The sequence below is a fragment of the Homo sapiens genome, chromosome 3 (assembly GCF_000001405.40).
Source record: "Homo sapiens chromosome 3, GRCh38.p14 Primary Assembly".
NCBI lineage: Eukaryota > Metazoa > Chordata > Mammalia > Primates > Hominidae > Homo > Homo sapiens.
The window spans coordinates 171635949-171662228 of NC_000003.12; the positions used below are offsets into that span (position 1 = coordinate 171635949).

A 26280-nucleotide genomic window follows, 5' to 3' on the forward strand; every position below is an offset into this window, starting at 1 on the left:
GGTAGGGGTTCAACTTCTTTTTTTTTTTTTTTTTTTTTTTTTTTTTTTTGCAAGTGGATATCTAGTTTTTCTAGCACCATTTGCTGAAAAGACTATTCTTTCTCCATTGAATTGTTTTGGCACCACCTTGCTGAAATTTAATTGACCATAATCATAAGAATTATTTTTAGATTCTCGACTCTATTCAGTTGACCTGTAAGTCTAACTTTATGTCAGTAGCACACTATTATTGTGGGTTTACTGCAAGTTTTGAAATCACGTATGTGACACCTCCAATTTGTTCTTATTCAAGATTGTTTTGGCAATGCTAAATGCCTTGAAATTTCACATGAACTTTCAGATTAGCTTGTCAATTTTTTCAAAAAGGTAGTTGGGGTTTTGGTAGGGATTGTGTTGAATGTATAGGTAAATTTGGAGAGTACTGCCATCTTAACAATGCTAAGTCTTTCAATCCATTAACACAGAGTATTTATTTATTTATATCTTCCTTAATCTCTTTCAAGGTTTTATTATTTTCAGCGTAGGTATCTTCCACTACCTTTATTAAATTTATTCCTAAATATTTAATTCTTTTGATGCTATTTTAAATCGAATTGTTTTCTTAATTTCATTTTCAGTTTACTCATTGCTAGAGTATAAAAGTGAATTGATTTTTGTATACTCATCTTGTATCTTGAAACACTGCTAGACTAATTTATTATCTGTAATAGTATGTGTGAATTTCTTAGAATTTCCTGCATACAAGATCATGTCATCTATAAAAAGAGGTAGTTTTACTCTTCCTGTTCCTTTCCCTTTAAAAAATGTATATTTTTCTTGCTCAACTGTTGTGGCTAAAACCTCCAGTACGATGTTGACAAAAGTGAACTTTCTCATCTCATCACTGATCATAGAGGGGAAAGCTTTCAGTCTTTCACCATTAAGTATGATGTCAGCTTATATGTGACATCTACACATACCATTTACATGGCTGAGGAAGTTCCTGTGTATTCCAAGTTTGTTGAGGTTTTTTTGTTTTGTTTTAATTATGAAAGTGTTTGGGATTTTGCCAAATAATTTTTCTGTGTCAATGAGATGATTATGTGTGGTTTTTGTCCTTTGTTCTATTAACATGATGCATTACACTGACTGATTTTCAGATGTTAAAACCAACCATGCATTCCTGGGAAAAATCCCATTTGGTCATGATGTATAATCCTTTTTATATTGTTGGATTCAGTTTAGTAGTATTTCACTGAGGAATTCTGTGGTACATTCACAAGGAATATTGATCTGATTGATCTGTGGCTTTCTTTTCTTTTCTTTTGAGACGGAGTCTCACTCTGTCACCAGGCTGGAGTGCAGTGGTGCAATCTTGGCTCACTGCAACCTCAGCCTCCCGGGTTCAAGCGATTCTCGTGCCTCAGCCTCCCGAGTAGCTGGGACTACAGGTGCATGCCACCACGCCCAGCTAATTTTTGCATTTTTAGTAGAGATGGGTTTCACCATGTTGGCCAGGATGGTCTCGATCTCTTGACCTCGTGATCCACCTGCCTCAGCCTCCCAAAGTGCTGGAATTACAGGTGTGAGCCACCATGCCTGGTCCTTTTCTTTTCTTATAATGACCTTGGTATTGGTATCAGGATAATACTGGACTCTTAGAATGTGTTGGGAAGTATAGTAATACATTGCTTAATGAGAATGTGAGAGAAATGTGTCATTGGGTGATTTTGTCATTGTTTGAACATCATAAAGTGTAATTACACAAACCTACTACACAAATCATATAGTCTACTACATACCCAGGCTATATGGTATAGATTATTGCTCCTAGGCTACAAACCTGTACAGCATGATACTATACTGAATACTGTAGGCAAGTGTAACTTAATGGCAAGTATTTGTGAATCTAAGCATAGAAAAAGCATGGTAAAAACATGGTATAAGAGATCAAAAATGATACACTTAACCAGCTGGGCACGGTGGCTCACGCCTGTAATCCCAGCACTTTGGGAGGCCGAGGTGGGTGGATCACGAGGTCAGGAGATAGAGACCATCCTGACTAACACAGTGAAACCCCATCTCCACTAAAAAAATACAAAAAAAAATTAGCCAGGTGCGGCGATGGGCGCCTGCAGTCCCAGCTACTCGGGAGGCTGAGGCAGGAGAATGGCATGAACCTGGGAGGCGGAGCTTGCAGTGAGCCAAGATTGCGCCACTGCACTCCAGCCTGGGCGACAGAGCGAGACTCCGTCTCAAAAAAAAAAAAAAAAAAAAAAAGATACACTTACATAGAGCACTTACCATGAATGAAGTTGCTCTGGGTGTGAGTGGTGAATAAATGTGAAGGTCTAAACTATTACTGTACACTACTGTGGACTTTATAAACACTGCGCACTTAGGCTACATTAAATTTTTAAATTTATTTAAAAATAAAATAATTGTACCATGCCATGGGTATGACTGTGACATCATTTGGTGATAGGAATTTTTCAGCTCCATTATAATCTTACGGGACCACCATCATGCTGCAATCTGTTGTTGACTGAAATGTCATTATGCAACACATAACTGTATTCCTTTCTCCTATCTATTTTTGGGGAAAAGTATGTGAAGAATTGGTGTTAATTCTATTGCGGATGGTAGAACTAATTAGCAAAGCCACTGGGCCAGGGCTTTTCTTTGTGGGAAGATTATTGATTGCTAAATTAATCTCTTTACTTGTTATTGCTCTATTTAGAATTTCAGCTCTTTCTAGAAGCAGTTTTGGGAGTTTGTGTCTTTAATACAATACCATTAATCGTATGTATCAATCTGACTGGGCCAAGAGGTGCCCAGTTTAATATTGTTTCTGAGTGTGTCTGTGAGGGGTTTTCTGGATGAGATTAGCATTTGAATTCGTGGATTCACTAAAGTAGATTGCCCTCCCCAATGTTGCTGGGCATCATCTAATCCATTGAGGGCCAGAGGAGATCAAGAGACAGATGGAAAAAGAATTCATGCCTTTTGATTCTTGCTTTTCTGCTTCTGTTGGAATCTCGGTCTGCTCTTACCCTTTTACTACCATTAACACCATTGGCTCCTCTGATTCTGAGGCCTTCAGACTTGGATGGGAATTACATAGCCAGCTTTCCTGGGTATCCAGCTTGCAGATTGTGGAAATTCTCAGCCTCCGTAATTACTTGAGTCAATTCCTCATAATAAATCTTTTCATATATATATATGAAAGATAGATATATAAATATATAATATATAATATACAATTTTATATATTATTTATATATAGCACATAAAATATATATCTATACATATATTTATAATATATAACATATAAGTAATATATAAATATATCATATATTATCTATATATAAATATATCATATATTATCTATATATAAATATTTTCATATAAATAAAAGATATATATGAATATATATTATATAGATGGATATATAAATATACATGTAAATTATATATTTATATATAATTTTTAATTTATATTTTATATATTATATAAAATTATATAAATTAGATATAATATATTCATTTTTAATAGATAAATATTTTATTTAATACATAATAAATAATATATATTCATATAATATATATTATATAAATATATATTCATATAATATATATTATATATAATATATATTCATATAATATATATTCATATAATATATATTATATATAATATATATTCTATATAATATATATTATATATAATATATATTCATATAATATATATTATATATAATACCTATTCATATAATATATATTATATAAATATATAAACATATATTCATACATATATCTTTCATATATATGAAAAGATTTATTATGAGGAATTGGCTCAGGTAATTATGGAGGCTGAGAAGTTATATTTACATAATTTCTCTCTCTCTCTCTCTCTCTCTCTCTCTATATATATATATATATCTCCTATTGGTTCTGTTTCTTGAGGGAACCCTGACTAATACAATGTCTTTAAAGGAATTTGTCCATCTATCTGGGCTAATTTGTTGGCATACAACTGTTCATAGTATTCTACACTCCATTTTATTTCCGTAAAGTCAGTAGTAATGTCCCCTCTTAGTTTCTGATTTTGGTACTTTGAATCTTCTCTATTTGTTACTTAGTCAGTCCACCTAAAGTTTGTCAACTTTGTTGATCTTTTCAAAAAGCTAACTTTTGGTTTCACTAATTTTCTCTATTTTTTTCTATTATCTCATTTATTTCCCCTCCAATCTCTGTTATTTATTTTATTCTGCTTGCTTTAGGTTTAGTTTTCTCTTCTTTTTCTACTTTCCTAAAATGTAAGGTTAGGTTATTGATTTGAGATTTCTTATTTTCTATTAAATAATATAAATGTTTATAGTTATAAATTTCCCTGTAAGCATTGCTATAGCTGCCTCTCATAAGTTTGGATATGCTGTTTTCATTTTCATTCATCTCAAAATATTTTCTACTCTCCTTTGAAGTATCTTCTTTGATTCTTTGGTTATTTAGAAGTATATTGTATAATTTCCACCTATCTGTGAATTCCCAACATTTCCTTTTGTTATTTATAATTTCATTCCATTGTGGTCAGAGAACATACTTTATACAATTCCTTAAATGCCTGTACCAAATGAGTTTCTTATACTTTACTGAGGGGCTCTGTGTATGTGTGTGAGGGCCACAGGCCTTACATGCTCAGGCATGCAGTTTATAACTCTGCCTTAGGCTTCACTTTCTGCTTCCACAGAGCCTCAAGGTCAGCCAGAGGTGAGAGCTTAGGGCCTTCTCAATCCTTTCCTGAGCACGTGCATTGCCCTGGGCCGTTGCACACAGCCCTACACAGACCCATGACCTTTCAGATTCCCAGGGATATGTTGGAAGTTTCTAGTGCCCACTAGGGGATCTCCTTCCTCAGCTTATCCTCTTAAGATTTTTAGTCAGCTTCTTGCTCACTCAACTGTTACTGCCTCTTCAGTCAGCTGTGATGCTAAATAAATGTTGCTGATTGTTTTTGATAAATACCAGGTTTTTTAAAAAGTCTACTTGCACTGAGCAAGGTCTGAGTCAGGTGAAATAAATATAAGTACTTAGAATGGGAGTTTAAAGGGAAGTGCCAGACAGGTCAAATAATGACAATGTGAGAACTGTGGGACATGGGAGCCTTAACCCTGATCTGCTCCCTCCAATGGCTGCTAGGCTGCTGGTTTTCACCCTGATTTGAGCAGCTGTTGGCTTTTAAGATTATCATGGAGCTGAGAAGAGGGAGATGGGTATATGGCAAGTTAAAATGCCACAAAGCTTGCTATTCTTACCAAGATTCAGCTGTTTTTCTTGATTAAACACTCCTTGGATTGTTACAAGCCTTTAGTTAATTTCCCCATCCAAAGAAGTTGATTGTGACAACTTTTGTCAGTATTTTTGTTGCTTTTATGTAGGACTATATTTTTGGAGATCCTTCCTCTGCCATTCCTGCTGATGTCCTAATTTCTTACTTTTAAGCTAAAAATATACAGACTTGGAAAGTCTATTATTTTCTACCCACATTCCAGTACATCATCCAGTGCACCCCATTTGGGAGGCTACCAGTATAAAATAAAAACTTCCTTCAAAATACTCAATTCAGGTTTATATTCTATCTGAAGGTCATATCATGACCTTCACATGATTAGGATGAGTCCTTCTGCCTTTTCCAGACCTCCTGCAGCAGCTCCATTCTCTTGGTCCATTGGATTGAAACTCAGAATTAGCTGACACTTCCCTTCCTCTCCTGCTTCCACATCCCCTCAAGTCATCCCTCATAATCTTACCCACACATGATCCTCCTTTTCCATTACCAGTGCACCTTTGTCTCTTGCTTGCCACCATCTCTACCCTGTTTACCAACAGTAAATGAATCTTCATATAAACGTCAGTTTGATGAATTTGCTCCAGGGGCTCAGAGGGTTTCCACCAACCTCTTCTTGCCTTCTGGATAAAACCTAGCCTTCTTAGTGTGGCTGTCCACGTTTTCACAATCTGGACCCAACTTGAACTAGAAGTCATACAACTTGGGTTCTGATTCCAGCTTAGTTTGTAATGATACACAAAGATATAGAGCAAAGATATAGAGCACAGAGATATAGAGCAATATTGAGTGCCCACTATATGCTGAACCCATAGTTCAGGGAGCTATAGATAGGTAAACCCCTAGTTACAATATATTGTAGCCAAGAACTAGGTAGAAGAATCAATTAAGAACACATCTGAGGCTGCACATGGTGGCTCACACTTGTAATCCCAGCACTTTGGGAGGCTGTGGCGGGTGGATCACCTGAGGTCAGGAGTTCTAGACAGGCCTGGCCAACACGGTGAAACCTCGTCTCTACTAAAAATACAAAAAAATTAGTTGGGCATGGTGGCGCACACCTGTAATCCCAGCTACTCGGGAGGCTGAGGCAAAAGAACTGCTTGAACCCAGGAGGCGGAGGTTGCAGTGAGCTGGGACCACACCATTGCACTCCAGCCTGGGCAACAAGAATGAAACCCAGTCTCAAAAAAAAAAAAAAAAAAAAAAAAGACGTCTGCGAAAGTGTCTTTGAAAAGTATAAAAAATTGTATCCAGTAGATAAAGAAGAACAAACAACTATAATACCTCATAAAGATGATTGTTATTATTAAAACAACTATATATAAATAAAAATAAATAGAAATTACAAAGATGCTCGGTTTTTATTACCTATTTAGTCTTGGTGTCTTCATTTGAATAATGGTTTGGGCAACTTAATGAGAATAAATACTTTATTACAGGTGAACATTTTGTGGGGTACCTTTTATAAACAGAGTTCTATAATCACACTGTGAAAACATTAATGATTACTGATACCTCACCTTCATAATAAAAAACAATGATATGAGAAAAAAAGCAGTTACTTACGCTCTGCTTTTAACTGTCCAAGGATGGAATTTTCTCCTCTGCACATGGTTCTGAAAATATGTAAAGGAGAAAATAATTACAGAGGTTTCAAAACAACCAATCCCATGCAGTATCTGTAGGTTTAATCCTAACACAAGTAAAAACAGAACAAGTGCTTCTATGAGAAGATGCTACATATATATCTAAATGCTAAAAACAGTTACATGAATATCACTTTTGTAATGCTACTAATAGGGACATGATAGTTGTTTTGAGGTAGGTAAATGGAAAAGTTATAAAATTCGTGTTAGATTTCAGAAAGAGAGGCTATTAAAAAAAGAAGGGTCATGAATGAACTTTCCCTCTTACAAAACTGGGTAACAGCAAAGATAAATTTAGAATGCATCAGTAGATAAGAATACTTAGAGAATCACATTGCTCTCAGAGGTGAAAAGGGCAAGCACTTAGCAGAATAATTTACAAATTAAACTATTAGAATGGACTGTCTTTAAATTCAGCAAAACCACTAAAAACGAAAAATATAGTCTCAAATAAAGGACTCTGCTAATGATTTTGTTTCTTAAGACTCTGATAATCACTGATGAATTATAAAATCTGACAAAACCAAAAATTCTATGCTTCATCTGCTTGCTCTATGAGAGTAATAAAGAGTATACTTATGCCTGAGAAATGCTATTATTAAAGATGATGCCAGCAAATAGAGATGTTTTTGCATAATAAAAGGTTATAGTTTTTGTTTCTGAACAAAAGCCAAATGTGTTATTTCATTCAGCTGGTTCGAAGGCAAGAAAATAGTCATAGAAAACAATTACAATTAACAATATTACAAAAATAATATTAGAATGGCGAATGAAATTGATAAAATTCAATTAAACATTATGTCAGAGCCTTAAATACTTGAAAAGCTTTATCATTTTATAAATCAGATAATATTAGAAATGTGCAAATCTTCAGTCCAAGTATATAGGCCAAAGCACAGTTAAAGCTCTCTTGTACTGTAACTAGGCAGAAGCACCCTGGAGGAAACAAACAAACAAAAATCTTTCCTTGAAATCCTGGCAGATAAACAGATACAAGCTTGAAACATCAGTAAGAAAAAAGAGGATTAAAAAAAAATTTCCACTACAATGGTGCACTCGAACTGTGCACAGATCCTCCAGCAGGAGCATCTGGCGAGGGGGCCCAAGCAGGAGGGCATCTAAGTCTCCACCCCCGATTTGACCAAGGCCCTGACCCCTAATCTGCTTTACTTACCAAAGGTTCTATGTAAAGTATCATTCGTCCTCTCCCACCTTTCAGAAGGGTTTGATTAGAAAGGTGAGAAACTACAGGTGGTTCAGAAAAATAAGAGATTTTGGTTAAGTGACCCTGAGAGAAGGTCAGAGGTGCATTTCCATCCCCATCTATGCAGGCTTTCTAGCCTGTGCTCCCCCAACCCACCAGCTAGCACTTTCCAGCCCTTTTCACAATGCTCCACTGGCCAAATCTGAAGCCTCAAGAGGAACCCAAGTGTGCCCTTTTAAATAAATATAAAAACTCAGCTTTTAAAAATATCAAGCACAAAACTTTCCCTAAAATTTTAACAAAGATGTGGTAGAGAAAACAAAATTCCGGGAATTTATTTACTAACAGAGGCTATCATTATCAACCTTGTTGAAGGACTTGCTACCTAAAGAATCATAACCAAACACAAGCAAATCTTACCATTTCAGGCATTTAATTTTTTCTCTATTTACTGCAAAGTACATGTAAAGCTCAATAGCTATTTACCCACTTAAAGATAAGTTTTAATCAACATTATACATATATAGAAATAGACAGTAACTATACAAGAAGGACTAATATTTTAGTTCTTTTATGTTTGCCATGTGTCTTAGGCCAATCATTTATCATTGTAGGCTCCATTTGAATTTTATCAACTAGCAAACGGGCCAAGATTTGAAAGTAAAATAAAGTGTTCATTTGTTCCCCACTCCACCGAATGGATGTGGAGAAACACTGCCATTCCCTTCATCAGCTTACATGATGCATGACCGAAAGCTCAAAATAGACCATTTAGAGTTTTGGCACCTGTAGTTGAAGTGCATGATTGCCTGTAGAGCATTTCCTCCGCCGGTTGAAATGTCTCCTTCGAACCCTGGCAGAAGTGGTATCACGACATATACCCGGTATTTCTGGTTTTCCCTGCAAAGGTCAGATGCAGAGAAATTCACCCAAAAAATAAAAGGTAGTATCAATTTTAGATGACAGCCAAGCAGTTCACATGGTTTTTGAGATTGAGTGAATGGCTTCCTACAACACGTTCTGTCACATTTCAGGACTTGGGAGGGTGTGCTGTTGGACTGGAAGACAGAAGCTGTCATCCAGGCTATCGCTTCATAGCCTGAATAACAAGCTAAACTTGGCAGTAAAGTAGAAATTGTACCCATTGTCTCTCTACAGCATAATCGCTTGTAGGACAAAATGCAGTGTAAGAAATCCTTGCTTGGATCCCATGGAAAGAGGCGGGTAGGGGAGGCTATAACAAAGTTTTGGAAAAAGAACTTAATAGTTAACACAGTACCTAGCTAGAGCCGTGGAAATAGTAGACATTCAGTTAATAATTGTTGAGTAAATCAGTTCTCATAGCCTAGATCGCAGGGGCAAAAAGACACACTGGACCCATTACATTTTCCAAAACAGAAGTCATCATTATCTACTTAGAAACTCTGAGTTTTCAGCTGTAAAATGTTACCCTAGGCCCTTTAAGAATTCTGAGTGGCCGGCCGGGCGTGGTGGCTCATGTCTGTAATCCCAGCACTTTGGGAGTCCGTGGCAGGTGGACCACGAGGTCAAGAAATTGAGACCATCCTGGCTAACACGGTGAAACCCCGTCTCTACTAAATATACAAAAAATTAGCCGGGCGTGGTGGCGGGCGCCTGTAGTCCCAGCTACTCGGGAGGCTGAGGCAGGAGAATGGCGTGAACCCGGGTGGCGGAGCTTGCAGTCAGCAGAGATCGCGCTACTGCACTCCAGCCTGGGTGACAGAGCGAGACTCCATCTCAAAAAAAAAAAAAAAAAAAAAAAGAATTCTGAGTGGCCAGTATGTATATTTAAGTCCCCTGCACATACAACACAATATTTCATGTCCCATTCTCTCAAGTGATTAATGACAACCTTTGAAAGAAAATGAATTCTACTCAATGATATAACAATAGAAGAAGAAAGTGTAGCTTTCTCTCTTTGACGGGCATTCAGAAAATCAGAAATTTGAAGTATGCTCCAAATAGGTACCATTTATTCAGAATCAAAAGCTATTAACGTTCTTGTCTCTATTTATAGGATATACAGGGAGAAGAAAAAGCCTCGAAAGGAATGTGACATACACTGTGATCAATGAATCTCGCTGGGATATCCGGGAGGACTATATTCACACAAAGGTGTTGTCATTGGTTAATTTTCAAGTCCGATCCTACTTAAACTTCTCATTTCTAAAGTGCATTTTCTTCTAAACAACTAAATTTTTCTTTCATGTGAATATTATCAGTACTCTTTGGGGGATCAGATTTTATTACTGATGTCTCTAAAGTCGATGTCAGGGCAAGTGGAAAGAGAAGTTCAGGGCAGAAATGACTACCAACAATGAAATTTGGAGGCCTGTGAGTTTGGCTGCCATGCTAAGAAACAAGGATCTTGAGTAGGTTGTTGTAATGGCATGGATTATTCACTAGATGGCAAACATAGTTTGAGTTGGAAAGAAGACATTAAAAAATGTAAACTGTTCAAGTTTGCTGCTTGGTAAGAATAAAAGGCTCACATCCCTAAATGGTGAGCAGGATAGCGAAAAAGAACAGACAAAAAAAAAAAAAAAGAAAAGAAAACCTAAGCTATTAAGCTATTTCCCCACAGCCAACATTTAAAAGTCAAAAAATTAAACTGGACAGTTAAAAATGGATGTCATTTGGCCTCAACTGCCTTTTCAGAATTCAGGATTATACTGCCTTACAGTATAATCCTCCCATCACCACAGCCCAGTGACAGGAGACTACCACCCTTTGTTCAGAGGTACACCTTCCTACTAATAAAGCTTGGCTCATCAGCCTTCTGGGCCTCCAGTGAATCCCACTTCTTCTAGGTCACCTTATTGGCTATTTCCTCTGCCAAGCCACTTGGCTCTTCCAGTCAGAGTTGTTTTATTCTTGCCTCGGCACTCATAGCACATGGCCAGGATGTCTGTTCTGCACTCTTTCTGCTTTACACGATAGTGATACACACATCTGCTCTCTAGGCTATGTGATAAGCTCCTTTGAAACACAGGATGCCTGCCCACATATCTTTCTGGTTTTGGTAGTACCCAATCAAAGACCCTTGCACATGCTATGCACTCGGTATTATTTGCTTTAGGAGGATGGGATCAGGTTGGAAAAATGTTTCTGGGGAAGTTTCTGGTAGAGAAGAGGTTAAGCTGAACAGGAATTTTTTCCTTTAAATTAAATTACATTTTGTTTGTAAAGTGTATATAATATATTACATACATTTTTTTCTTTAAATAAAATTATATTTTATGTCTTTAAATTAAATTACATTTTATTGTGGTAAAATACATGTAATATAAAATTTGCCATTTTACCCTTTTTTTTTTATTTTGAGATAGAGTTTCGCTCTTGTTGCCCAGGCTGGAGTGCAATGGTGCGATCTCGGCTCACTGCAACCTCCGCCTCCCAGGTTCAAGCAATTCTCCTGCCTCAGCCTCTTGAGTAGCTGGGATTACAGGTGTGCACCACCACGCCCAGGTAATTTTGTACTTTTAGTAGAGACGGGGTTTCTCCATGTTGGTCAGGCTGGTCTCGAACTCCTGACCTCAGGTGATCCGCCTCGGCCTCCCAAAGTGCTGGGCTTACAGGAGTGAGCCACCGCGCCCAGCCCCCATTTTTAAGTGTACAGTTCAGTGGCATCAATTACATATACAATGTTGTACAACTATCATAATGATCTATTCCCAAACCTTTTCAACATCCCAGACAGAAACTCGGTGACTATCCAGTCATAACTACCCTGTTTTTCCCTGCCTGCACCCCTTGGAAACCTCTAATCTGCTTGTCTCTATGAATCTGCTGGTTCTGGATTTTGCATATAATTAGAATCATACAATACTTGTCCTTTATGTCTGACTTGTTTCGCTTAGCATAACATCTTCAAGGTTCACCCATGTTGTAGCATGCGTCAGAATTCCCTCCTTTTTAAGACTGAATAATATTCCATGGTATGTACATATCACATTCATCTGTTAATGGACACTTATGTTGTTTCCACCTTTTGGCTATTGTGAATAATACTGCTATAATACTAGCATACAGTATCTGTGAGTCCCTGTTTTCAGTTCTTTGGGGTTTATATTCAGGAATGGAACTGCTGGGTCATGTGGTCATTCTATGTTTAGCATTTTGAGGAACTACCAAACAGGTTACTTTCAAATGAGTAACATATGCTCATAGTACAAAATGTAAGAGGTAGATGATTATACAGTGAAAAAAAATCTCTCTCACTCCTTCATCCTGAGGGCAACTCCTGTTAACAGTTTCCTCCATGTTCTTTTAGAAATAGTGTAAGAATTTATAAGAATATATGTATTTTTTCCTTCTACACAAATATTAGAATACTATAAACACTTTTCTGAACATGATTTTTATCATTTAACAGGGTATCTTGGAAATCCTTCCACATAAGAACATAGTTACTTTTTTTTTTTTTTTGAGACCCAGTCTCGCTCTGTCGCCTAGGCTGGAGTGCCGTGGTGCGATCTCGGCTCACTGCAAGCTCCACCTCCCAGGTTCATGCCATTCTCCTGCCTCAGCTTCCCGAGTAGCTGGCGCTACAATCGTCTGCCACCACGCCCGGCTAATTTTTTGTATTTTTAGCAGAGACGGGGTTTCACCGTGTTAGCCAGGATGGTCTCGATATCCTGACCTCGTGATCCACCCGCCTCGGCCTCCCAAAGTGCTGGTATTACAGGCGTGAGCCACCGCACCTGGCCAGAACATAGTTACTTTTTAAGAACAGGGAGGTAATATTCTACCATGCATCTATACTTTAATATTTAAACCAGTTCTTTACTGATAGGCATTTAAATTGCTTCTAATTTTTTTTCTATTTCAAAGTAACTATTTTGATATTTACGCTGACTAACAAAAGTAATTTTTCACATTTGTTGGAAAAATCTTACAAGTGGTATTGCTGGTCTTTGACACAAATGTTTGTGATGATGTTTGTAAGAGACAGTTCTATTTTATCTTTTTTTTTAAGCAAAAATGATTTTACAAGGGAGATCTCATATGTATGATATTGAGAAATGTCCTATAAAAATATTATAAAACATTCTTGCAAATTTTAGTTTGTAGGAATCAGAATATTCACATTTTCTTGTTTTTAGGACTCTCTTAGCTCCATAACAAGCCCTTTGCTATTTTACAATATGGTAGCTCATAAATTTCCTGAATGATGAAAATTTTAAACTGCGTTCAGCAAACTAGTGGAAACTATTTAGATTTTCACTGCTGTAGAAAAAAGGGCTCTGGAATTTCAAACGCAAAATTGTGGTTGAATGTAAGCCAAAGCACAGAAGATTCCATGGGACACTGTGTCCAATCTGCCTCCTTGATCCAATCCACAGAGGACAAGAGTTCCAGCTGCTGAGGAATCCAACGTCCTTCGGAAATACTGAATCCTCACAACATGGGGGTTGTGGAAATGATAGCATTCAGCTTAGGGTAAGAATCTGAGCCCCTAGTGTATAAAATATTTATGATCTTAAAAGCAATCTTGCTTTTGGGGCTAGTGGGCACTAAGCCCCGGATAACTACCCATCATGCCAGCAATCACTTCATCCACATTAGTTCAAAGCAATTTCTACCAAACAGCATTCTCAGGCTTCTTGTTAAAAGTTTTTCTTCAAAATTCACTAACTCTTATGGCAGTGCTACGTATAATAGCTAAAAATTGGAAATAAATGTCCAATAATAAAGGAATGGTTAAATTATGTTGAGCCAGTCAATGGAATGATCACCTTGTAGCCACTAAAAATGACCGCTATGAAGGCTCAGTAGCACAATACTTCTGGTACTGTGTTAAAATGGCCCCAATGCAATGTTATAAGAGAATAAAAATGTGGCAGGCCAATGCTATAAAACATTAAATCATTTTTCCCTTTAAATGTGTTAACTTCCCCCACTCTGTGACCGGAGAAACGAAGCAGGCATTGCTCCCGGGGTGGCACTCTCACAAGGGAAGCAGGACACAAAAACATCAACTTCTTTTAGATTTGGGGAACTGGAGAGATTCTCTAAGCTGAGGCAGGAGTGTAGAGAAATAAGAGCAAGACTCAGGGCAAGGAATCAGTCCTTTGGCCTCAAGCTGAGTTCGGGGAAAAACAGGATAGACCCCACTCTCTTTTCAATGTGAGGATATGAGAGCCAGGAGGATCTGTGCCTTGCTTTCAGGTGAACTCCAGAGAAATGTGGAGCATGTCGTTCAGCAGCTATGCGATGTGGCAGGAGCAGAGGAGAAGTGGTAGAGAGGCAGGCCTGAAAGGTGAAGGCTGACGTCCCCAAGCTACGTTAAGCAGATGCCAGAACAGGCCGGAGGGAGATCAACATCAGTGTCTGGAAGCCCCTTTCCAAAGATCCAGGGCCCCATAGCATTAAGATCAAGGACGGGATGTGGAGGGAGAGGAGGCAGGAGTAGAACCCTGATGCTGAATATAGAAGGGAAATAATGAGAAATCACTGAATTTGGCCACATTTATCAGGAAGTGCCAAAACTAAAACTAAAACCCCTCCTATTGTGTGGAAATGCGCTTGAGCTAGAAATTCAGATGAACTCTAGGAAAAGAAAATAAATTACAATTCAACAGAAAATAGTAGTGTGTGTGTATTAGCCAGGCGTGGTGGCGGGCGCCTGTAGTCCCAGCTACTCGGGAGGCTGAGGCAGGAGAATGGCGTGAACCCGGGAGGCGGAGCTTGGCAGTGAGCCAAAATCGCGGCACTGCACTCCAGCAGCCCGGGCGACAGAGCGAGAATCCGTCTCAAAAAAAAAAAAATTAATTTTAAAATTTTTGTGATTGCTATAAAGCTGTTTGTACCTTTAAAAGCAGAGTACGAATGTACCATGTAGATGGGTCACAGCAGTGATGTACCTCTACTTTCCTTTTCTTGTTTTTCTCTGCTGCATAAGCCCCTCCTCCTTCACCCACAGTCCCTCCTCAGCATGAAGGACAGTTAGGAGAAGCTTGATCTGCTCACAACTGGGTCTCAGGGTCTGGCAAGAAGGCCCCGAGGAAGCTTGATATGCTTCGCTAGTGACAAGACACTTTATTTTTTTGAGAATTTGAGATTTATAGTTTGTATTTCATTACTGTAAACTTCAAGAGCTGCTATAAATCGTCTCGTTGTAGATTTTGCAGCAGTGAATACTGTCAGAAATAGGAAGAATTGTGGTTAGGGCTTAGGGTGTGTGTGTGTGTGTGTGTGTGTGTAAAGAGAATTTTATACTATGGTGGTATCAATTATGTTGGAATTGGATCTGTAGCTTCTTGGTCGTTTGGGACATAACCCCTTTTATTTTGTGCTTGGCAAATCCTTTAAAAGGAGAAGATCCTTCTGGGCTTCAGTTTCCTCATCTGCACATGAAAGAACTGGCTAAAATCATGACTAGTCCACTAGAAATGCTGGCCCTATTTAGCACTGACTTTACCTATCCTCTATGTGACTTCATAGATTATGAACTATTATATATTGTGCACAAACACACATCAGTTTTCTCATTGGTTATCTTTTGAAAATGGCAAGCTTTCAAACATAAGAATGCTGAGGGATTCCCCAGCATGTTTGACTTAGACTTCACCCTGGGCTTGATAGTCTTTGGCAAGCCTAGCCCTGAGTGGCCCCCAAATGAGGTTATATAGAACCTTATACTAAACTGTTCCCACTATGGCCCAGACGGTTTTCATTGTCATTTTTAAGTCTCCTTCTTCCTTCCTCTCTTTTCCAGGGCACATGCTCAGGCTCAAAATGAGTGCTGGCCCCTGCCCTGTGCTAATCTTTACATTTCTCTATCTGCTGAGGTTACCATTTTATACAATTTTTAGAATAGAATAAAAGCATTTACATGACCTAAATCAAAAGGTCTCCTGCCACGATCTGTTGTCATCTGTGTCCCAAGGTAACCTCTTCTCCAGAAATCGTACAGAGCTTGGGAGTTATCCCACAAGAAAAAATGTGAAACCAATGATTGGCATACTTAGATAAAATGTGTTTTGGCCAGGCGCGGTGGCTCATGCCTGTAATCCCAGCACTTTGGCAGGCCAAGGCGGGCGGACCACGAGGTCAGCAGATCGAGACCATCCTGGATAACACAGTGAAACCCCGTCTCTACTAAAAATACAAAAAAATAGCCAGGCGTGGTGGCAGGCACCTGTAGTCCCAGCTACTCGGGAGGCTGAGGCAGGAGAATGGCGTGAACCCAGGAGGTGGAGTTTGCAGTGAGCCAAGATCGCGCCACTGCACTCCAGCCTCGGCGACAGAGTGAGACTCCTTCTCAAAAAAAAAAAAAAAAAAAGGTACTGCAGTTGAATTTTCTTTAAGACAAGGCTTCTGAAACAAGCCCAACATGTCTTTTCAGTTTGGTACAAAATTATAGGATATGGTAATTATGGACATAGATTTTTCTTTAAACCCAAGAACTTTTAATCTATCAAACATTGCTTTTAAAAAATAAAACATTCATCTGATTTTTTTTTTCTTTTTGTGACAGGGTCTTGCTCTGTTACCCAGGCTGGAGTGCAGTGGTGCAATCATGGCGCACTGCAGCCTTCACCTCCCAGGCTAAGAGATCCTCCCACCTCAGCTTCCCGGATGGCTGGGACCACAGGCATGTACCAGCACACTCAGCTATTTTTTTTTTTTTTTTTTTTTTTTTTTTTGTAGAGACTAGGTCTCACTATGTTGCACAGACTGGTCTTGAACTCCTGAACTCAAGTGATCTTCCTGCCTCGGCCTCCCAAAGTGCTAGAATCAAAGGCATAAGCCACAGTGCCCAGCTCATTCAATTTTTTATATTTCAAAATAAAGTATTTTTCATAGATTTCTGGGAGGCTTACCATTCGAAAATTTCTACATCCCTTGAAATGGGGGAAGCTTTGTAGCTTACTGGTAAAAAGCACAAGTTGAGGTCCTACAGACATGGTTTGAGTCCTACTCCTATCCAACCATAGCTGTATGACTTGGCTAAGTTATCTAATTTCACTAGGCCTCAGCTGCCTCATCTGTAGAATGGGAGTAATTACACAACCAATCCCATAAAGTTGATACAAAGACTGAATGAGGTAACACAGGTATAGCACTGATTATGTGGAAAGACTCAGAAACTATTTGGTAACATTTTTATTCAATTATATCAATTGCTGATTTCAATTAGAAGGCTTGCATATCTTCAAATAACAACAAAGTAAATAGCATCTAAAATTAAAACAATACTAAACTAAACACATATTATGCTTCAGAATACATTTTGTTTTACTTTATATTTTGGGGAGAGTGTTATCAGATCAATAACAGGGAAATCAAAAATTGATTCCCAGGAAGAGTCAGCTATAGGTTTCTGGCAGCAAACCTCTAGACAGAGTGTTGTAATCGTGTGCCTAAACAAGTCACATGATGAACAACAGCCAGTCGTGAGAAACCAAAACAAATTTTTCTTATCCAGAAGTAGCCGTCCAATAATTTAAAATACGGAACATTTAAGCATCTTTTAAATTAAAACATTTCTTTTTCTAGCATAAATACTAATTTTGAAACAGCTGATTTGAATATGATGCCTCTTTATCCTTGCTTCAATTTACAGTGAACAACATATTTCCAGATGATGAATATCATGGAAATGCTATAATAAGTTCTTACATGAACTGGTGCTTTACAGCTTACAAACTACTTTCACATATATTCATATAAGCTACGTAGAACAGATAATATTATTCGTGGTTGGTGAAGAAACAGCGTGTCAGAAGGACAAACTGACGTACTCAGAAGGTCACATACCTGTGGATAACAGAGCTGGAGAGAATCCAGGTCTCCAGACATCTGGTCCCCCAATAATTTCAGATTTCCCAGTGTGGTATTTCCCATACCACCCACTTACAGGCAAGCAGTAGCTCTTCTACAGTTATAAGAAGCATGAGGGGCACTTTGGGAGGCCGAGGTGGGCGGATCACTTGAGGTTAGGAGTTCAAAGCTAGCCTGGCCGACATGGTGAAACCCCGTCTCCACCAAAAATACAAAAAAATTAGCTGAGTGTGGTGGCGGGTGCCTGTAATCCCAGATACTCGGGAGGCTGAGGCAGGAGAATTGCTTGAACCCGGGAGATGGAGGTTGCAGTAAGCCAAGATCACACCACTGCACTTCAGCTTGGGTGACAGAGCAAGACTGTCTCAAAAAAAAAAAAAAAAAAAAGAACATGGTAAGTTTGAACAATGTTCAAAATTGTTGTTTTAATGTAGTTTAATAGCATATTTTTAATGCAGTTTAATATTAAAACATAGAAGCATTAAGTCAACTGACTATTTTCATTGTGTGTGTCAACTGTTTGTTGCTAACACTATAAAATGCACTTTCTCACTTCCTGACTTTCTACCAAAGCAGAAAAATTATGCATGTCAAGTTTCCATGTGCAAAGATCTGAGAATCTCCTCAGAAACCATTCATTCATGGCACACAGTGTTTAAAAATGTGTCTACCTGGATCAGTTGGTCCTATCTTTTGGCTTAGTCAAACATGGCATAAAACAGTAAATTTTAGACTGTGGATTATGATTTTTTTTCTCTCTGATCGCCAATCACATTTGAGCTGTCAAAGAAAGGTTTCAAGTGGGTTGGGCAGCTGGCTTCAACTCTGAGACAGTTTTACTTATTAGAGTGAAGATTTGTTTTTTGTTTTTTTTTTATTCTGATTCCCCCGGCTGTTCTGAGGTCAGCATGGGGTAAACATGAGTCTGAGGCTCTAGGTCATGTCAGAACATGAAGGCTTTGCAAAACTTATTTCTATAAAGAATTATGGCTGTTGAGAAGGAACCAGAGGAAGTGAGAGGAACTGAGAAATTGCTTAGGGGAATTGTTGTGAGGCTGGATTCCAACGCTGGCAGAAAAATACTTAGACCAGTCCAGGGAGTTGGCAATTTGAAGACTCAGATTTCTCCAGGGTAGGAGGGACCTGGCAGAGGGCCTGTATTCTTTGGTGAGGCCTGGCTGACTGCGGACTGTCATTTCCCTCCATCTGCTTTGGGCTGCATTCTATTCTTTTTCAAATAGCCAAAATTATACTTGTTGCTAAGAATGTGACTTTGGCAGGGAAGTTCTGAGTCTCAGAAAAGTAGAGACCAGAGAAGTCTATGGAGAGAGAGGGGTAAGTTTGGGATGGCACATCATGGCACCTAATTAGTGAAAAGGGGTCACCCCAGGGTGGCAACCTGCAAAATATGTTGTTTCTTTCATTTTTTATTTATTTATTTTTTTAGAGATGAGGCCTCATTCTATCTCCTAAGCTGGAGTGTAGTGGTGAGATTATAGTTCACTGCAGCCTCATACTCTCAGGCTTAAGGAATCCTCTTGCCTCAGCCTCCAAGTAGCTAGAACTACAGGCACACCAAAACATCTGGATAATTTTTTATTTTTTTGTAAAGACAGGTGGTCTCAAATTTCTAGCCTTTAGAAATCCTCCCGCCTCCGCCTCCCAAAGTGCTGGGATTACAGGTGTGAGCCACCACACCTGCCCAAGATAAGCTTTTTAATTCTGCCTTTACCTTGCCTAACACAAGCTCACAGAACACAAGCTCACAGATTTGAAATTAAGTGAAAATATATTTTACAGTTGCAATTAACATAGGGAGATTAACAAGAATGCAGAGACGCCAGGGGTGAGGGGAACATAAAATATGTTTTGAGAATGTGTGTGTGTATCCACTGAAAGTCTAAATGTGTGACATATGTACCATTTTGAAAATGTGTCTGTCAAAAAAATGAGACTATTGAGAGATCAGAGCTAAATGACACAGGTTTATTTGAAATTTGATGAACTAATTTCCCATTTTTCACAAAGCAAACTTGAAATTGCCAGTCTTTAATGTGCTCTGTCAAACTCCAAGTGTAAGATACAATCTGCAACAGGTGCTACTTTACCATAATTTTTAAAGTCACAGATCCCTTTTCCTTTCAGGAGCAGCTCATAAGATCACTAGGAAATGTTCTATCAGAAAATATCTTGAAGTTTCTTGTAGCCCTAAAATACTATAATTTTATTTATTTATTTATTTATTTATTTATTTTGAGACAGAGTCTTGGTCTGTCACCCAGGCTGGAGTGCAATGGCATGATCTCAGCTCACTGCAATCTCCACCTCCTGGGTTCAAGCAGTTCTCCTACCGCAGCCACCTGAACAGCTGGGACTACAGTCATGCACCACCAAGCCCAGCTAATTTTTGTACTATTAGTAGAGACAGAGTTTCACCACACTGGTCAGACTGGTCTCAAACTCCTGACCTCAGGTGATCCACCCGCCTCAGCCTCCCAAAGTGCTGGGATTACAGGCGTGAGCCACCATGCCCAGCCTAATTTTATTATTTTAGAAGTCCAGATTTTTAAAGACAAATTACTACAGTAAAGAAAAATATTCTTTCAGGCTTCCAAACACTTAAAAACACATCTTTGGAACAGTATAAAATACCGGGGCCAGGCCCCGATCCAGGAAATTATGATCCAGTAAGCCTGGAGGTGAGTCAAGCTCTCTGTAATCTTGCAAAAGTCAGTGGTGATTTTGATGTGTAGTCACAGGTGAGATCCACTGTACACACTGCAGGATATGATGGATGCTGTAGTGTGCTGCCTAGATCCCCTCACCATGGGATCAAGACATCCATCCCATCAGCTACTGAGCATGTAGGCCACGGAATACTCACAGTGAAGTCCTCCAGGTATGAAAAGTATGGAGTCCTCCATAGGTGAAAGGGACTTGCCTCACTCAAGGTCATCCCCACTCCCTAGGGTCAGCCTGCATCCAATGGCTGGTCAATAGGGGAAGGGAACTACAGGCCCAACACATTTGCCTCAGCTTGGGGAAGCCCTGAATGGGTTTTTAATCCTAACCATCAATGCACTAGAGTCATGTGGTGTGAGGGGAAGCATTGGGTTGAAAGTCCAAAGATTTAGGCTCAAAGCTGTTTTTTGCCTATTGTGGTTAGTGGCCTAGACAAGTCACATAACCTCTTGAATCTCAGTTTTTAATCCTAAAAATGGGAACAGCAACAACAGCAATAATAACAACAATAACAACAACAAATACATGACCTACTCTCAAGTGTAGTTGTGAAGATTCAGTGAGATAATGTAGTTATAAACTGTGAATCACATAAAATGCTGATAGTTACTGTTATAATATGTCCTTAAGTATAAAAGTCCCCAAATATTATGTGAAAAAAGATATCAAAGTACCACATGACACTGGAAGTAAAAAGTGTTTTAATTCCCAAATGCATATGCACTTATTCTTCACTGCGTGCATTCAATGACTTAAAGTAATGAAATATAATGGTTTTGCTTATGTGTTTGTTCTGCTACTTTTAAATGGAGCTGAAATCAGCCATAAGAAGAAATTGTCCCTGGTGCCAAGACAATTCAATGTGGAAAGAATAGTCTTTTTAACAAATGGTGCTAGGGCAACTCTATATCCATCAACAAAAGAATAAAAAGTTGGGCCCCTAACTCACCCCATATATAAAAAGTAACAAAATGAGTCAAATATCTAAATGTAGGAGCTAACACTATAAAATTCCCAGGAGAAAACAGGCATAAATCTTCATGATCCTAGATCAGGCAGTGATTTCTTAGATATCACTATCTATATTCCTTAGATACCAAAAGGACAAGCGATACAAGGAAAAAAATAGATAAGTTAGCTTTTATCAAAATAAAAAAAATTTCTGTTTCAAATGACACCAGCAAGAAAGTAAAAAGACAAGCCATCGAATGGGAGAAACTAGGAATCATATATCTGATATGAGACTTGTATCTAGAATGTATAAAGAATTCTTACAACTCAAAAATAAAAAGTCAAATACCCCAGTGAACAAATGGGCAAGGGATTTCAGTAGACATTTCTCCATAGATAATACACAAATGGCCAATAAGCACACACAAAGATGCTCAGTATCATTAGTCATTAGAGAAATTCAAATGAAAATCACAATGAAATACCATTTCTTAAATGGTATTTCACACCTACTAGAATGACTATAATCAAAGAGAGAGATAATAATAAGTATTGGCAAATACAGAGAAACTGGACCTCTCATATACTATGGGAATATAAAATGGCAGAGCCGCTTTGGAAGACAGTCTGGCAGTTCCTCAAAATGTTAAACATAGAGTTAGCTATAACCTGACAATTCTACCCCTAGAGAAATGAAAATATATATCTGCACAAAAACTAGTAAAGGATGTTTATAGCAGCATTATTTATAATAGGCAAAAAGTAGAAACAACCCAAATGTCCATCAACTAATGAATGGATAAATACAATGTGGTATATCCACATCATGGAATATTATCTGGCAATAAAAAGAAATGAAATACTGATACATGCTATAATAATAGATAAGCTTCAAGAACATTATGCTAAGACAAATCAGTCATAAAAGACCCCATATTGTGTGACTCCATTTATACAAAATGCCCAGATTAGGCAAATCTATAGAAAAAGAAAAATCAGTGGTAGCCAGAGGCTAAAAATAGAAGGAATGGGTAATGACTGCTAATGGGGTTTCTTTCTGAGTGGATGAAAATGTTCTAAAATTGATTAGGTGGTGGTTGTGCAACTCTGTGAATACACTAAAAATCACTGAATTGTATAGTTTAAGTGGCTGGATTATACAGTATGTAAATTCTATCTCAGCAAACCAATTATTAAAAAAAAAATCCCATGAGCTGAATAAATATGACATACGGTAACAAGAATTTAAATATAACCCATAGCAAAATATTATGTCTGTTTTGCTTTTTTAAGCGAACACAGCTCATAGTCTGCTATTAAATAAAACAAATCACAAACCTCATGTGTGGGAAACAGACTGGCCAGGAAGAAATTTTTGTGCCTTGGAAGAATTCAAATTCCCTAGAAAGGGCAGTCAAAAATCTTTAGCAACTGACTCAGACTAAAGGCATCAATAACCTATTGCTGGCTGAACCAAATTTAAGCTGCTAGGAAATGACAGTACTTTAAAAATGGGCTTTGCAAAGTCATTTTAGTAATAAATACAAGAACATCTGCAGCGAGAACTCTCAGCCAAAGGCTGTTACCTGTGAGCTTTCAGGATCCTCTGGGCAATGGCATCGCCTATCTTGTTGAACACAACTTTGTCATCAGCACAGCTTATGAAAAACTGGTTCTATGAGAAATAAACAAGACAATCATGTTAGTCTTTATTTTCTTAGCAATATACGTAAGAACAATACTGTAATATATTTTTTAAAATGTTTCACACAGCAGATGTGTTCTGATCACTGAAATCACATCAAGAAAGTCAACGACACAGAAAAAAAGCCGCCTCATCTCACTCAGGGTCTCATCTGATTCCAGGTCATATCACCTGTAACACTTAATCAAGTGGAAAGTTACACTATATTATTTCACCATGAGAATTCCTTATAGGTGATTTTCTAAATTACATTCTCAGAATACTTAGGAACACTGCAAATTTAATCAATGGGGAAACTAGTTTTTTTCAGATTCACATGTTGTATAAATGCTTATGATTAAAAATTCTATATTGGCAAACATTCTATCTCATGCTAAGCTTGCTTTTTTAACAGAGTAGATGGTAAAGCCTGGTCTAGTTTTCTCCACCCTTTCTCCATTATTTCCTGGTATCTGCTTTCACCTTGTCTTGTTTGTCTGGGTCTCTTATTATCTCTGAACTTCTATTTTAAGTAGCCTCAACTCTCTTTTGTATGTTGCATATATATAAGCCAGTTAATAAAATAAAAAATGTTTTTTTCCTCTAAGTACTTCTGCTATTTATATATCTACAAAATAGTCTTTAAAACTGTTACTAGAAAACAAGTTACAACATTATCATAACAATGCAAAATATTTTGTTGCTGCATAAAGGAATGTGAAAAATTTGGTGCAAATATTACTAATGTTATGTGTTCAAATAGAATAGATTGTTATAACACATCTGTAATTTATAAGGACAATTATCACAAAGTAATATTTGCTAATCATCTCAAGGTAAAGAGATATATATGTAACAACTCGTAATTATCATCCCTTTGTGGCATTATCATTTTTATGACTATATAAGCTTTTATACTTAAGTGCATAAATCTGTAAAATGCCTCCAGAAGACAAACTTACAGGAAGACACGGTGCAGAAAGTCTTTTGAGAATGTGATTCCCCTTAGGGCATCAGACAATCAAAATCTCATTGGCAACCAAACCATGTTTCTTTTTCTGAATTCATATTATAAAGAAGCTTAGCATGCCTCAGCAGCTGTAAACACAGACTGGCTACATGTCATGTCCTTTACTTCTCCTTTTTTGGAAGAGTCGGATGAATGCTGACTGCTTATCTTGACTAGAGGAGTGTCAACCAGGTCTATGTCCCAACTATGTATACCTACATGGCGTTACTGACATCATTTAATACTACTGTCACATTAAAAAGAAAAGCTGATTATTTTATTTTTTATTTTTTTTATTTTTTTGAGATGGAGTCTCACTTTTGTCACCAAGGCTTGAGTGCAATGGCATGATCTCGGCTCACTGCAACCTTCGCCTCCCAGGTTCAAGTGATTCTCCTGCCTCAGCCTCCCAAGTAGTTGGGATTACAGGTGCCCGCCACCATGCCCGGCTAATTTTTTTGTATTTTTAGTAGAGACGGGGTTTCACCATGTTGGCCAGGCTGGTCTCGAGCTGCTGACCTCAGGTGATCCACCCGCCTTGGCCCCCTCAAAGTGCTGGGATTACAGGCATGAGCCACCGTGCCCGGCCAGAAAAGCTGATGTTAATGCTACTAAAAAGAGATGAAGCAAAATGATTCTGGGCAATAGATGAGCCAGCCTTCACATCTTTCCATCTCTATGGTATAATTGTTTAAATTAATAATACTAATAGCATTACTAAGCTCCAGACTTTATGCAGAGTTCGCTCATTTTCCACTAATGTCCTATATCTATTCCATGATGCCATTCAGGATACCACACTGCATTTAGCCAGCTAATATATTATATTTAACTTAGGTTTCTCTAGCCAGGCTCATGAAACAAATAAAGCTCCAATTCTTCCCTGCTTGTCTCTAATGAATTGTTGCTGTGCAGAGCGGGAGAGGGCCAGGACCCAAGGGGAAGAAAAACAGGGCTAGAATGGTTTTCCTCAGTTAACCCATTCCCCTATCTACCTTTAAAAAATTCAATGGGAAAGAAAAGACTCAAATAAGGAAGGAAATTATGCTATGATTTATTTTTTCCATTATTGTGACTTTTTATTTTCTCAGGGTTTTTCAAGTTCTCTGAACTATTTTTATATTCACTTTGAAGAGTAATTTAAGTTCCCAAACTAAACTCAGTGTCCCCAGATTTTCTCATATGCTCTAAAAATTCTGGGATGAAAAAAAGCTTCCTAATCAATAGTAGTTCACACAGGATTGAAGAAGGTGGTACCTGCTCTTAATGTTCTCACATCTTCCTTTTCCACGTTCTTTTCCCTGCACTCTCCCTACTCCGCCATGCCCAAACCAGTGGCATCCAGTGGTCTCTATTTTAGCAACTCACCCCTGTGTGTGCTCTCCTGAAATAGAACTTGCTTCACACTTAAACCCTCCAACCCAAGCGAAAACAAAACTTACCTATCCATGTTGGGGTATTTCTGTCTAATACTATTACAATGAGTTGATGATGCATTTTAACAGCAAAGATTTGTGAGACTCCCAATAGAATCTTGAGTTAATGACAATGCAGAGCCAGTTCCAGGTATGCTTGGGAGGTCAAAATTCAGGTGATATGAACCAGAGCTTCTCCAGCACTTTTCACGCCTCAAAATATACTTATTAATATGAGGGGTCCTAAGTTTGGGGACCCTGAAATCTCTGCATGATATTTAAGGGAAGGCAGTTTCTCACACGAATTTACATGAGCAAGACTTACTTCGATATAGATATAGTGCCTGCTGTTCTCTATCACATGGACGTAAGCGGCGTGGATGGACTCTTCATGGTACTTTATACCAGCAGACCAATCAGCAGCAGAGCGGAGCAACTACAAGGCAGCAATCAGAAATGAACAAGTATTAGCAATGGAGAGGACATCAGATATA

The 26280-nt window shown here is 38.1% G+C and overlaps 1 protein-coding gene across 12 annotated transcripts in view; it reads right to left on the reverse strand.

Moving 5' to 3' along the window:
- PLD1 (phospholipase D1) overlaps positions 1–26280 on the reverse strand; it is a 210080-nt gene that overhangs the window by 35545 nt on the left and 148255 nt on the right. For 11 of the 12 annotated variants that reach the window (NM_001130081.3, NM_002662.5, XM_047448316.1 and 8 more), the window contains 4 exons: positions 26112–26222; positions 23265–23353; positions 8962–9075; positions 6892–6941 (listed from right to left, as the gene is read on the reverse strand). In NM_001130081.3, the coding sequence (NP_001123553.1) occupies positions 6892–6941; positions 8962–9075; positions 23265–23353; positions 26112–26222 (364 nt within the window). Of the gene's footprint in view, positions 1–6891; positions 6942–8961; positions 9076–23264; positions 23354–26111; positions 26223–26280 lie in introns of those variants that run through there. The other variant, XR_007095693.1, reaches the window with a different exon arrangement.